General features: G+C 33.6%; 1 long non-coding RNA gene across 1 annotated transcript in view, besides 1 other annotated feature; it reads left to right on the forward strand.

Annotated features, from left to right (window-relative positions):
• The window catches only part of LOC107986770 (uncharacterized), a 407223-nt gene that overhangs the window by 112132 nt on the left and 279676 nt on the right, over positions 1-15415 (forward strand). The gene's annotated exons all lie outside the window — the stretch shown is intronic.
• Positions 3928-4727: an enhancer, noted in NCBI's record as "VISTA enhancer hs749". NCBI's record gives its function as "enhancer in: hindbrain (rhombencephalon)[9/10] | midbrain (mesencephalon)[9/10]" and the evidence as "EXISTENCE:transgenic organism evidence [ECO:0001131][PMID:17130149]".

Here is a 15415-nt window from a genome sequence, read left to right on the forward strand (position 1 = left end):
TGAGATAATTTTGTGTTTCATTTTGTGGTAAACGTATCACTCACAAGTGTGGTTCACCACATAGAAAAGAACCATAAAGAAGATTGCTTTTTTTTTTTTTTTTTTTGAAAGGAGAATCAGAGATCCTCCCTGAGGTCCAAGGAATAGGTGTCAAGAATCCAGGTAACATAGGTAAATTATTCACTTTCTCCCCTTAAGCATCCAACATTCCCAATCATCAATATTTCCCTTAGTAAGTTATCAAAATTCAAGACAGCCTCCACTTGCTAAGCTTGCTATTACACATTATTTAGAAGCATTTCCATATGCTTTGCATCATTAAATCATTTTACAAACCCCAGGATAAATGCATCATGTTTCCATCTTTAAGTGGCCATAAGAGGAAAAATAGATTGACAACAGTCTGCAAAAACCGGGAATAGTACCAGACAGAGGTAGAACAAGATGCACTGGTCATTGTTAAAAAACTAAATCAAATTCATTAAGAAAAAATAATATGAGAAAAGTCCATACTCATCAATAATACATTCATATGTAAACATTATGCAAATGATTTACTGGTAAACAATGTCTAGTTCTATCACTGATCATTTTGTATTTCTTTGCTGTGATTCTTGTCTCGGAAATGAATTTCAAGACGTTCTGGTCTTTGAATGTATTCCACCCTGTAATCAGCCTCAATGAAGAAAGGAGAAGGAGAATTTGCCCTTTTGTCAGTTTTTTTCTGAACCATGTGACATTTCTTTACTAAGAGGCTTTTGTTTGAAAAAGGACTGGTTGACCCATGTAATCAGAATTCCTTAGTATGTGCTTAAAGCAAAGCAGAGCTGAGATATTCCTAGTGAGGGGTACAAATGCATCTGCTTGTTTTAAAATGCATCCTGATATATTTGTGGCCAAGCCCATTTGGGGAAATATCACTGACCTTTATTTTCTAGATCTGCAAAATCAGTCTAATGGCTTTTCAACATTCACTTTTTAGCCTGTATTGAGGAAGTTGCTTAACTCTTGTCTTCTGTTTTGTTTGTTTGCTTTGTTTTTTAAACGTGTTAAACAGTCATCCCTTACCTCCATTTTTACTTTTAACATTTTAAAATAATGTTTTTGCCTCCCTTACCAAATAAACTTTTTAATTTATGAGGAAAATAGACCATTGGAGGGACTGGGAATCCTGCCCAAATCTATCTATAAGAGTCATACACATTCAGATAAATATTATGGTCATATTTTGTGGTTGAGTATATATAGCTAAAATATCTGGGTAGTTGATTTTTTGACAAATAAAAATGATAAATACTTACTATGTACAACGGGTTGTTTTGAAGTATATATGCATCATGGAATGATTAAATTGAGCTAACATATGTAGTACCTTACATACTTATCATTTTTTTGTGGTGACAAAACTTAAAACTCACTCAGCAATTTTCACAAATACAATATATTGTTATTAACTATAGTCACCATGTGATAGAATAGATATCTGGAATTGATTCCTCTTATATAACCAGAATTTTGTATTTTTTACCATCTGGGTAATTGATATTTAGATTTTCATTGAAGAATGGGTTGTACAGTTATTTAGATTAATATTAAAAATACATATGTTAATCTTTTACCTTGCCCAATGTTCACATGATCGACTAAACTTATGCAAATGGTTTACTGTCCTCAAATCTTTGAATTTTTGAGTAAAAGAGGCCCAGAGATTTTATTCAGCATGTAATAATAACAACTACAATAATAATAAGCACTTGGCATTTACTGATCATTTCCTATATTCCAACCTACTAAGGTACTTTCTTGAACTATCTCTTTCATTTTATTTCAGCAATGGCTAAGTGAATTAGGTTCTATTACTCATTTCCCTAAAATAAAACCAGTTTACATCTATTTAATAATTTGTTCAAGGTCCCATTGTTATGATGACAGTAGCAATTAAAGATTTTACAAAATGGGTTGGAACAAAATTTCTGATCACTGTATTTTGTGGAATAGTGTGGAAATAATTTAATACATATTAGATCTAAAATATTACAGAGAAAGAACTCAAATATTATACATACACATACACAGAGAAAAACACAATATTAAAGGCATGAATGTTTGTTACAAACACTTTAGAAAACAATGCAGCATTACTTTGTCAAGTTGACTATTCACCTACACTGTGAGTCAGGTAATTCATTTGTAGGTATGTACTTTAGTGAAATTGTTGCACGTTTGAACTAAGATATGCATAAAATGTTCATACCAGCACTGGTTATAATTTTTGAAAATCATTAGAAATCTTGAATTTCTATCATAAACAATAGAAAAATAAACTGTGGCACATTAGGACAAGGAAATGTTATGTAGCAGTAAAAATGAATAAACTCTATCTCTATGTAATCACATGAATGAGTCAGATACATAATATTGATGGAAAAAAGTTCAAGAAGACTAATAAAGTATGATAACTTTAAAAATCTCTATAAAGAATTACATATTCTTTATGAGTATTTATACACTAAATAAAATAATAAATACAAGCTTCAAAATAGTGGTTACCTTGGAGGTGAAAGCAGAATGATGGGATATAGGATATAGAAAACCTATAGGATAGGTTTTCTATAGATGGGTAGATGGGTTTTCTATATAGGGTTTTCTATATGGGTTTCTATAGATGGGTAGATGGGTTTTCTATATAGGGTAGATGTAACCCTATCTATAACTGGCCAGCTCTGAAGGTGAATCTTAAATTCAGGGTGATTGTTCTATTTGTCTGATTCATAACTTTTCATCTATTCTTTTTGTGAATCAAACATAATATTGCAAAGTGGGATAGGTGTGCACCAGGACACAAAAATTCTGCAATTTATAGGGAGAAATGTCAAGAAATTTTGGGTAAAAAAGAGACCATGCAAGGAATAAGGGACTTGTTCTGCTGTGTATTAAATATATCATAAATCTTCAGAAATACAAGTTTAAAATATTGGCAGAAAAATAACAAATAGGTGAGAAAAACAAGATAGAGAACTCAGAAACAGATAAATGCATGCATGCGTATGGAATATATGATGATATTTGCATATAAATCTAGTGAGAAATGCATATAATAAGGTGTTGAAAAATTTGTTTATACATTAAATGTATCAAAATATTATGTACCCCATGAACATGTACAACTATTAGTTGTAAAAAAGTCTGAAAAAAATTGCTCTCTATTTAAAAGAATATAAAACTAGATCCCTACTTCTCTATTTTTTTAAATCCAAATGGAGTAAGCCTATAAATATTAAAATGGAAACCATAAAGCATTGAAGAAAATGAAAGTAATAGTTTCATAACCTCCGTGTGGGGGAAGAACTAAGAAATCTAGAAATTTAGCAGCTATTGAAGACAGTAAAATAATTAATTACATAACATTTTAAAAAATTTCTACTGACAAAATAAAAGTCAGAGATGTAGTATAGAGAAGTTTAAGCAAATATTTTTGTTTTAGAAATGAAAACAAATGGCAGAAAATAGCAACTCTAATGAAATATCTCAAAATAATGGCTAATGCAAACTTAGAAGTTTTTTCCTATTAATACATGCATAAGTAAGTTTATTGATCTAATTAATTAATGGGAATTTTAAGCCACAAACAATCATTTTTGGTATTTAGTGGGAACATTTTAGGGTGTGAGAATTTGTCATTTCTACTGATTAGAATGTATAGTTATCTGCAGTTTTATAGATCTAGTCAACTTAGCTTTTAGGGTAGTTTTAAAAATTATGTAATGTACAGCATATCCCAAACTGGGTACCAACTGGATCTGTCATAAAAGAGACCATTTACCAGCAAATAATTATCTGCAATGTTGAGGAAAAGTGTAAGAAAATGAGGATAGATGTCTCATATTAGAATAATGAAAGTTTTCAACTAGAAATTACCACTTGATTTTGGGGGGCAGCATAAGAACAAAGTAAGAAAGTAGACAGTGCCACCATCAGTTCATGCTGTGCTCTGAAAAGGAATACCCAAATTTCTAACACCTTCTTTTTCACATGTCAGCTGTTTAAGAATGAGGATTGAAGTCTTTTACTTACAATGATTTTGCTGTTGTAAATTAATGACCAAAGTGATCTATTATTCAGTTGCTCAACTGCTGCTTTATTTCTGTTGATCTTTGTTTTTCTGCTTAATTTCTATAAATTACTGTACAGTTTCCCATAAGGTATAATTAAGCAGAATTGCTTAAGTTTTAATTATTGTGTATTATAGATGTTGAAAGCAACATTAGCACTTGGCTTTTAAAAATGTGATCGTATATTTATAAGAGAGCATTTATAAACACATTTACATATAGTTAAGATGAAAAAGGTATTTGAATTGCAGTCATTAGCATTTCTTCAAACATATGGCAGAGCAGCGGAGGCCATGGGCCATGCCTTCATTAACTGAACACTGTTTCATCAGTGTTTCAGCTTCCTGCTGTGCCACCCTGTGGCGTCCCCTTCTGTCCCTGAGGTTTCAGTAACAAGGGACAATATGTCCCCAAGGTGAAAATCTGGAAAATATAGCAGATTAGCCCTTAGAGGAGTTCTTATGATTATTTAATCATACTTAGAGAAGAAACACACAGCACTGTTAAACCAGTTTTAATGTTTTCTTGTCAGTTTCCATTTCTCAGTTGCTGTAGCCGGGTTTGTCTGCAATGCACAGTGAACATAAGCGAGGTGAAATGGGACACCTTTATGCTGCCATCGTAAGGCCGATTTGTTACACATTTGCTGGCATAATGGTCGAGGCCGACATAGGTACTTACAAATATCTTAGGTTAATTATAATTTGTTGATTATAATGTTATCAGATAATAGATCAGCAGGAAACTTTCTTTAATGATGTCACATATGATAATTTTACCGTATTCCCTTTTAAAAAATAAACAAGAAAAATGAGTAAGAACATTGTCTTATAAGTAGCATGGCCATGTTTTAATTGTATCCTTCTCTGGTACATGAAGATTATTAAATCTTGGCGACAAAGGCATATGTCTCAAGATGTTAGTCACCTTTATGTTAGTTACATCTGCTAAATACCTCACATTAATATAGAAATAGTACCTATAGTATCGCTGTAATTATATATATGTAAACATTTTTATTAGCTTTTTAGTCTGAGATTAAAATTGTTAATAATAAACTCCTGTGATACCTGAAAAAGATGTATTTAAACATGAACATTTTTGGTCAAATTTTATATAATTAAGTAATTGTCATTAGTTTCTAATAATTGAGATGTGAAATCTTAGAAAAATCTTCAAAGCAGATAAACTAACCAAATATATGATATCTACTTCTCTTTGCTGAATGACTATGGATATTACACTTGGGAGATTCTTGGAAAAATTAAAATAATATCAATAAATGGAATAATTCAGAGGTATTCCAATGGTTGGAGCCATTAAAACAAGAAAAAGAGAAAACGTGTTGATTATTTGACTATGTAGGTTTTTTTAAAACAAGAATTACTACTATATCTAATATTAAATTCAGGAAACTTTTTAGTTCATTTTAATTAATAGTCCCATCAATTGTATATACAGTATATGCAGAACCTCAATGAAATAATAATGTCTTATAGGAAATTATCACATTCTTAAAGGAATTATTAAGTGCTGTTGTTTTGACCTTTTCCTTTTTCTTATACACACTAGCAAATTCGCAATTTTTTTTTTTCTGAATTGTCCTTCAATTTGTAAAATCACTTCCTTACTGTTATGGTCATTGCTCGTATTTAATTTATTTTTTAAGGTAACCACGTTAAGCATTCTGTGTAAGAAACAAAAGAGACAAAAGATATAATCATTTTCTTCAATGAGGTATGTTTTTGTATAAACGAAATATGTATTTGTTGATAGAAGTCAGGCTCTAAAATTACTACTCTGCCTTTCCTTCCACAGATGACTTTTGTGCTTTCTTGTCTCTAGCATAAGAGTTAGAACACAGACTCTAGAGCCAAACCATCTCAGCTTGTAACCCAACTCCACCACAAAGCAGCTCAAAGACCTTGAGAAAGTTTTTTTAAGTTCTTTGTGCCTCAGTTTTCTCACAGAAACAACATAAGCTCCTACCTCAGTGGTTTGTTCAGATGATTAAATAAGTTAACTTATGTAAAGTGCCCAGAAGAGTTCTTGAAAATAGTAAACATTTCATTATTAAAGACCCTTCTCCCATTAAAAAAATTTAAAAATTTCATATCCTTTCCTCCTCTAGTGTCCCCACTATGCATCCTAGTTTTGACCCCATATTCTTCCTCCTTTTCAAAAGCAAAAGTTTTTTTTTTTAATTTTATTATTATTATACTTTAAGTTTTAGGGCACATGTAAAAAAGAAGATTAGTACAATTACATTAACATTTTCATAACATGAAAAATAAAATTATCTTGAAAAAGAAAAATAAAAAGTTTTGACACATGCCACTTAGTGGCTACAGGCAGCATAAAGGAAAGGGAATGTAGAGAGAAAAGTATAGTAATGGACCATTTTCAGCAATAACAAAATCTGTAATATAGGACCAAGTAATAAGGGTGACTTTAGACTCATCAGATGAGAACTTCATAAAAGTCAACTTTTTTTCACAGCACACTCCCAGTCTTTTCATTGCTATAAACTGATCATTGTTGGTATAATTGAGGGTACAGTTACTAGTACTAAGAGACTGCTCTGTCTGCATATACTAGACAAATATAGGGACAACGAAAATGTAAACAACCTTATGATATTGTAAACTACCAGAATTCAAAAAATAAGATCAAGGGCATTGTTAATATTTACCAGAATATGTTTCAATAAAACATTAATTAAATGGGATATATATCTTTGTATGATGGATTAGTAAAATATGGTGTCAAATCATATAAATATATTTGCTTTGGGGAATTCCCTTTTGGACCCTTTTATTTTTTATCATCTCATAGCATATCACAAGTCCCCAGAAATATGCCATGCTAATATTGCCAACTGAGTTTTTCCAAGCAAAGATGACATCAGCCATCTGTCACACAGTACTAATGCTGAGAAGCAAAGCCAACTATAGAGAAAATAAATACCTTTCATATTGATTAGCCAAATATTTATGTTGAGAATGAAATGATTAAAATCTCACTATTCAAGCTAATTACTGTAAGTGAATATTTGCCTCCAAGTGAATGACATACCAGCAGTGTATTTTCTTTATTGCTTTCCTAAAACCAAATTTCATTGTGAACCTGTGTGCTGCATGAGGGGCTTGTGCTAGACTTTGCAAGGTGTTGCAATACACTGCCATAGCGATCTTTCAGCCTGCAGGTGTATCTCCTGCTGCCTTGGTAGATTTGATATACACTGTGCTGCACTGGTTTCCAGATGGCTGCACTCTTGTTCTATTTTAAGTTACTCTGTCTCTTAAAGTCTGTTACACTGGAGCCGGTCATTGCAGGGTCAAACAATCGGTGTTTGCTAACTTTGACTTGATGCTGAAACATCTATTTTTTCTGGAAGTGTTTAAAGATTGGCTAAATAGCTACCTGGCTTGATCACAGTAGATGATTACATTGTTTCCTAAATCAGGTAGCCCTATTCGGAGACATGAGAAGTTTTTCCAAATTCAGTCACGGCTATTGTGGTTACACTGAGTCATTCCATGTCAGTAGGAGAGATGTTGGCTGAACTTGCTATGTCAGCTGTTTTAGAATACAGATCTATATATAATCAGAGGACTGAATTTTTTCTACATTATAGCTAGGTCTATAGAACAACGAGCTATTTTATAATAGTGTTGTATATTTTCTTTCTGGGAAAGAAGTGAAATTTAGAGGTTTATAATTTGATTAAGCAGTAAAAGGTGCTTTGAGCCCTCTTCCAGGTGACTTAAAGGTCATAGTATAGAATGCTTCTGTAAACTCAGGCATTTCCATTTAGTTTGGCTTGGTGCAGCATACTTTTCTAAAATAAATGAAACATGATGATACAAAAATATTTTGGGCAAGTCTGCAGCTTTATATAGTAACCAAAGTCAAAGGGTTATGTAAGCAATCTAAAAGATCAATTACACTTAAATCACTCTAGATGGCTATTCTGTGGGGTTTCCAAGGGAGCCCAAAATACAATTGAAATGAATAAACACATTTTATCTGTTGTTTCTTTCTAAATATCAAATTATCCAGACGTATAAAAAAGTGTGAGCAAATGGATTACCCTTTTAGACATTTGACCTGGTCATTGAAAATTTCAGAGAAAACTTAAGGCCAGGCGCGATGGCTCATGCCTGTAATCCCAGCACTTTAGGAGGCCGAGGCGGGCGGATCACCTGAGGTTGGGAGTTCGAGACCACCCTGACCAACATGGAGAAACCCCGTCTCTACTAAAAATACAAAATTAGCCGGGCGTGGTGGCGCATGCCTGTAATCCCAGATACTCAGGAGGCTGAGGCAGGAGAATCGCTTGAACCCGGGAGGCAGAGGTTGCCATGAGCCAAGATCGTGCCACTGCACTCCAGCCTGAACGACAAGAGCAAAACTCTGTCTCAAAAAAAGATTTTTTAAGACCTATGTAGATATATTTGAAAAATCAGTTTAACAAAATATCATACCACTTTGCCTAGCAGGATACTAATTCTTTTCGTAGCTATGACATTAATCTATCCTAGAACACATCTTCAAACTATGCAATTTTCAGTTATATTATTCTACAATGTTTGTTACAACAAAATAATACATATTTCTGAACCAATTGAGAAAGAAAGTGATATCACAATGGGGGACCATTATTATCATTACAGAATGTGGCTTTTCTATATTGAGCCATCGCACTAGGCAAATCCACCTATGTAGTCATGTGAGTATGACCATAGCAGATTTCCCCACATCCTGCTCTGTTATTCAGAGAAGAGAATCGGCCCTTGCTGTGCAATAGGTAAAGGGGCTGCTGCTGTGAGTCAACAAACTTCAAAGATGGAAAGTGGAAGTGGTCTGGCAAGCCAACCAATTTATTCTCCAGAAAACTTTTATTACATCCCCTAATGTGGAATGAGTAAATAGGAGGCAAAAGAGGGTCCCACAATTTGAGCACTTTTACATAGAAGCAAGGAGCAAAACTGGCCAATAAGCATTTGCTCCTGACATAAAGCTTTTTTTAAAAAAAATAATTTATTCTTCCTTTAATTAACTAGTATAAAATTTGATGTGTTTATTTTCTTCTCCTTCTCCAGGCAAATATAAATTTATATTGTAGCAGCTATCTTTTGCTGCATAATAAACTACACCAAAACTTTGCTGCTTAAATAAATAACCATTTCTATGTTCATAATTCTATGGATTAGCAATTTGGGTAGGAATTGTCTGGGTTAACTCCTCTGTGTATCACGTGATGCTGGATGGCCTCAGTCATGCATTTTTTGATTAGTTGTAACAGCACCTTGAGCCTGATTGTCCTGGATAGCCTCCTGCACATGCCTGGTAAAGCTCTGGGGGCTGTTGGTCAGGTGACCTTGGTTCTCCACCACCTGATTTCTCATAGGCCAAAAGTTGTAATAGGCATCTTTCCATGATGATGGAAGCACTCTAAGAAGGTGAAAACAGAAGCTGCAAAGTCTGTAGGGCCCAATCTTAGAAGTCACATTCTATTATTATGAATTTTATTAGTTATAGGAAGTCACAAAAATCAAGGAATTCGGTGAGAGCCATTATAAAAATTTACTATTCAAATAAATATAAGTAATATAAATGTAAATACACACACACACAGAGAAAGATTGGTATACCACTTAAGATTTGAGATTGCAGACTCTGAAGACACCCTGACAAAGCTTGTGTTTTAGCTCTGATGGTTACTTGATGTATCATATCTTAGACAAGTTATTTAACTTCTCTGTTTTTCAGTATTATTATCAGTAAAGCGATAATAAGAATAGCTATACTGTAGGTTTGTTTTAAGCATAAATAATTAAGGCATGTAAGATTGAGATCAGTACCTAGCATATTGAAATTCATAATAATATCTTTTTTGGATACTTTCAGATATATAAAAAAGGGAATCTTACTGAAGACATTTCTCTAAAACTTGCATTTTTGTCTTAGCAAAATGTAAAGATCAACCCTTACAGTGAAAATATGTTAATCTAACTGTTTTAATGGGCACCTGGTGATCCAGACAAGAAATCTAAACATGGAAGGAGGTACCCAACAATTTTTCTTACTCCCTTTATTTTGAATCCAGGTTTGTGGCTTGCTTCTCTATGTAGAATGTGGTTAATTTCACTTTAAGTCAGAGATGAATTTTCATTTTATAGCCCAGAATTAACATTTTCTAAAGGTACTGCTTCTGAAAGAAAGAAAATGATGAGCTTTGGAAGCCATCAGTCTCTCTTATAAAAGGACAGCCAATAATGAGAGAAGGGAATCAGGTAGATAATATAAGAGCTATAGATGAACCAAAGTAAGCTATGCTAATAAAAAGCATAAGCCCCTGGTAAAGGAACTCATAAGTCTACCCTGAGCATTCTTCTACCCAGGTACCAGGAGCCTCACCATTAACAGATAATCTGGACCAATTCAACTTTCAAATATAAAAAGCAAGTTTCAAATATAAAACTGTAGCATCCATGTAACAATTATTAAAGGAAGAGACAATAATAATAAAATAAATTGGCAGTTGCAATCATATCATGAAGGAAAAGGGAGCAAAAAAAATTCAACATGAGTTAAAATAAATTGATAAGAATTAAAAATGTGAAAGAAATTTATTAAATAAAAATATAAATGAAAAGCAAAGACCAGATAGACAAGTAAGCAGAAAATGAGAAACAAGAAACTATAAAACTCTTGAAAGAAACGACTGCATAATACATTGTAGAATATAGAATTTTCTGAGCAAAGGTTAAGTAAGTTATAGTAAGGAACATAGAAAAGCAAATTGAAACAAGCCAAAATAAAAAGAGAAGTATAAAGAGAAAATATAAATAAAATGACCCACTAAATATAACATTTACTTTTTTCCTGAGTTAGAATATTTGTTTTCATAAATAAGAAAATTAAAACAGTAAAACAGAAGTAACAGTTAACATTAAAAACAAAAACGGACCCAAAAAACCTGAAAAAGCAAACAAACTAAAAAAGTCACTAAAAAAGTCACTAAACTCTCTGCTGATTGAACTGATCAATTCTGCATAGATGTATGGTATAAGTTATACTTGAAAAATTGACCTGGTCAACTTGAGAAATAGTTCAGTAAAATTAGAGTTTGAAGAAAAAGAAAAATCTCCCATGCTTTTAAACATAAAGAGTAAGTCACTTATAAAGCAAGAAAATAATATTTGACATCAAACATTTCTGTAGCAAAATCGAGTTTCAGCAAAGAGTGAAGCACTGGTTTTTTTTTTAAAGATATTCAAGAAAAAAACAAAGTATAGTACCAGGATTTTATACCCAACCAAACTATCACTTCAGTGGTCAGGTGTACACATACACATGACTGTTGAACATGTACCTTTCAAGGAAAATTTTATGCATGAGTATTCTTGAAAAATTTACAAATGACTTCCCAATAAAAAGATGATTGGAAAATTTTACAAAAGACTGGTGGTCTTTTAATTATTAATTACATTTAAAAATAAATGTATTAGTGAACAGTGTTGGCATAAGGATGAGAAGCTATTATTTTTATGCTGTTGACTTCTTAATGTTAAATTATTAAGATAAACCTCTAAAAGAATGTCTGTATATCTTTCAGATGTATGAAAATGAAGAGGTTTTTTAGATATATATGAATTAATGGAGCATGTATGCACATTTAGAGTATGTATTACATATTTTAAAATATTTTATAAGTAATTACAAAAATTGTCAAAAAAAATCTTTTAAAATAGAAATATAATATTTGGTTTTTATGCCAAATAGGCTAAAAGATTTATAAGTTGCTAAAAATCAACACTGTCAGAGATCTATAGCAATTAAATTCTAAAAGGCTGTGGTGAAATCCTCTTCTCTATACAATTTCAAAGAAAGAAAACTATTAAAATGAGAGAAAAGTGGGAGAGAGAGTTTATATTTCTCATAAAAGCCATATAGTACAGCAATATAGAATAGACTAATAACATAATTATTAATTTACCTACTTAAAAAAATTTGACATATTTTATTTAAATAAATTATCTTTTCAATTAATCTAGTTAAATTCCAGTGTCTCACACAGAATAGAGTTCTGATATGTTTTTAATTTTTTTTGTTGTTGTTGTTGTTGAGACGGAGTCTCGCTCCTGGGAGGCGGAGGTTGCAGTGAGCTGAGATCACGCCACTGCACTCCAGCCAGGGCGACAAGAGCAAAACTCTGTCTCAAAAAAAAAAAGAATTTACTCTTAACATAGTATAAACCTCCGCCTCCCGGGTTCACGCCATTCTCCTTCCTCAGCCTCCCAAGTGGCTGGGACTACAGCACACGCCACCACGCCGGCTAATTTTTTGTATTTTTAGTAGAGACGGGGCTCCACCGTGTTAGCCAGGGTGGTCTCGATCTCCTGACCTCGTGATCCGCCCACCTCGGCCTCCCAAAGTGCTGGGATTACAGGCGTGAGCTACTGCGCCCGGCCTGTTTTTTGATTTTTAAAATATGACTCTCAATAGCTAATAAAAATATCTGAACAGTTCTGTATGCCTTTCAGATCCAATATTACTAGGCTATGGTACTTACGTATTCTTAAAGTGAGTATTTAGGACTTTTTCTTTTGCCTTTTCTTTGACTTTGGCTTTTCTTCCTTGATATTCTGAATCTGACTTCAAGAACTGAAAGCCAAGGTAGCAGGCAATGTATTGTCTTATCTAACTTTTACTATCTCGTAAAAGAAAGCAAACATTTTTGCCTGCAAATAAAAACTTTTTCTGTAATTAATCTCAAATAATAATTACAAAGTCCTTACACAAGGAATTATTATGCACAACACATTCCTTTGAAAGAAGTGAATGCATAAAATAGAAAAATCGTGTCTTATGAATTTTTCATTGATCTGTAAAGACAGAGAAATTTATACTAAACTAAGCCTTGGGACACTGAACTAGTCTTCCAGGTACCAAGATAACAGAGTCCCAGGCATTTAGTTTCATAAGAAGAGGAAGAAAAAGCTTGGAAAAGCCAGATATTTTTTACATAGCATATCTTTGTCAACAATGTTTTAAGCCAGTTACTGGATTATGATCTGTTTGTCAATTATTTATATTACAGGTAACTGTAAAATAAACAGTTTATCTTTCTTGGTTAAAATGATTGCTACATATTTTAAATATTATAAGTGGCCAGGCTTTGAATCCAGGTTCTCATTGACGACCTAAAGATAATTACACTACATACCCTCATGGTGATTCTGCTTCCACATCCAAAAAATAGCGATAATTTATTCATTTATTCAATACATTTTTATAGATTATTACATCTGCCAAGATAGGTTGGGTTATGCCATGGTCAGATAAACTCCCTTTCAGTGGCTGCATACCAGAAATTTACTTTCCTGTTGTAAAAATCCATTCTAGGTCTGGGCAGCTCTCCATAACAGTTGTCCTCCAAATGTACACTCAGCATTGCAGGCTGCTTCAATTGTTTGGCACCGCCATATGAACATGAGATTCCAAGATTTTCACACAAGGGGGAAGTGATGGCTGAAAATTTGAGTCAACAATTAGATTCAAGTATCTATAAGTAACATGCAGCATTTTCTCTCCCATTTCTTGAAAAAGTGTGCTATATGTCCACATCTAACTTTAGAATGTTAGGAAAGAACATTGTGTCCAAATAAATTGGCTCTCATTGAGCAGTAAAAGTGCTTACCCAGTCACCATCAAAGTGTCAAGCATTATTCCTAATTGAGCAATTAAAGCAGTAAGCAGAAAATTCCAACTTTCTGGACTTCATGGATCTTAAACTGCAGTGATGGTGATAAGGTGGGTATAGAGACAACAAAAAGGCAGGAAATATATAATACATCATAGAGTGGTAGGTGTTGTTAGGAAAACGGGAATTAGGCTAACTGGAATAGTACATAAAATGATGAAGGTGGCAATAGTTGCTTATGATTTTTTAAAAAATATATTTGGAAAGTGTAGAATATTGTACTGATAAGATGATATTTGAGTAGAAACCTAAAGGAAGTGAGGCAGAAAACTACAGATATTTGGAAGAGGGAACAGCGAATGTGAAGGTCATGAGTCAGGTAAGGGTGTAGCTTAGCATATCAAGAGGCAAGTAGATGAGTGACTTCAGCAAGATGGCAGAATAAGAAGTCCCGGCCCTTGATATTTGACAAAAACACAGATTTAACAATTTTATATGTATCAGAATGCCTTTATGAGAGGTCCAGAATCCAGTTAAGAAGATGTAGTACTCCAGATGGGCACAAAAGTGAGAACGGCCACATTGAAACTGGTAAGAGCAGTTTTGCTTTCCCTGTGTCAGCCCCTCTTCCAAGCTGCCATAGTTCAGCACCTAGAGAAATTGTCTTAGCCTCAAGGCGAAAAACAGAGTGGAGCATGCCTCTAAGTTCCTAGCCTTCTAGTTCGTTGCCCAAGGGGACAGTTTCTGCCTCACTTCACATGTGATGCTAATGGGACTGGTATTGCGCAAATGGCTGGGGGCATTTACAAATAAAGGAAAAGGGGCAGACAGCTTGCTGCAGCCAGCACAGCTCTGTCAGATTGAGAGAAAGTACAAAACCAAAGTCTCCTCCCTTAGGTGGAATGGAGAGAAGCGGAGCATGCTTCCAGTGTCCTGCCATTTCAGTGGACTGTTTAACAGGTTGGCTGCCATTTTTTTCTCACTTAGAATGCTGACAAAACTGGTATAGTTTGGAGGGACAGCTAAGAATGAAGGAAAAAGAACTTGCAGCTTTCTACACCCCGCATGGCTCTGTAAAATTTGGAGAAAGTGCAGAGGTTATATATTCTCCACACAGAAGGAAGGAAAGGAGTGGAGTGTGCTGCCAATGTCTTGACCTACGGTTTACAGTCTCATAAAAGAAGAAGCGAGAGCTTACAGGCCTTTGAAAAAGCAAAGGGCAGCAAATTCCTGTAATTAAGAACCTACACACACAAGTTCAGAGAATACACATCCGTAGGAAAGGTTACAGAACTTCCTAGAATTTCGTTCTGGGTTAATTGGTTAAAGTTTTTCCCCATTAAAGCCAATCTTTACACAGACTGAACAAATTGACCTTTATTAACATGTGCAGAAACCAACACAAGCTACAAGGAACCTGAAGACTCAGGAAACATGACACAATAAAAGGACCAAAATAAATCCCCAGTACCCAGCAACAAAAGAAATGAAGATCTATGAATTTCATGATGAAGAATTCAAAATAATTACTTTTAAAGAATCTCAGTAAATTACAAGAGAACACAGACAGCTGACTGAAATCAGGAAAGTA

The sequence above is a fragment of the Homo sapiens genome, chromosome 7, assembly GCF_000001405.40.
Source record: "Homo sapiens chromosome 7, GRCh38.p14 Primary Assembly".
NCBI lineage: Eukaryota > Metazoa > Chordata > Mammalia > Primates > Hominidae > Homo > Homo sapiens.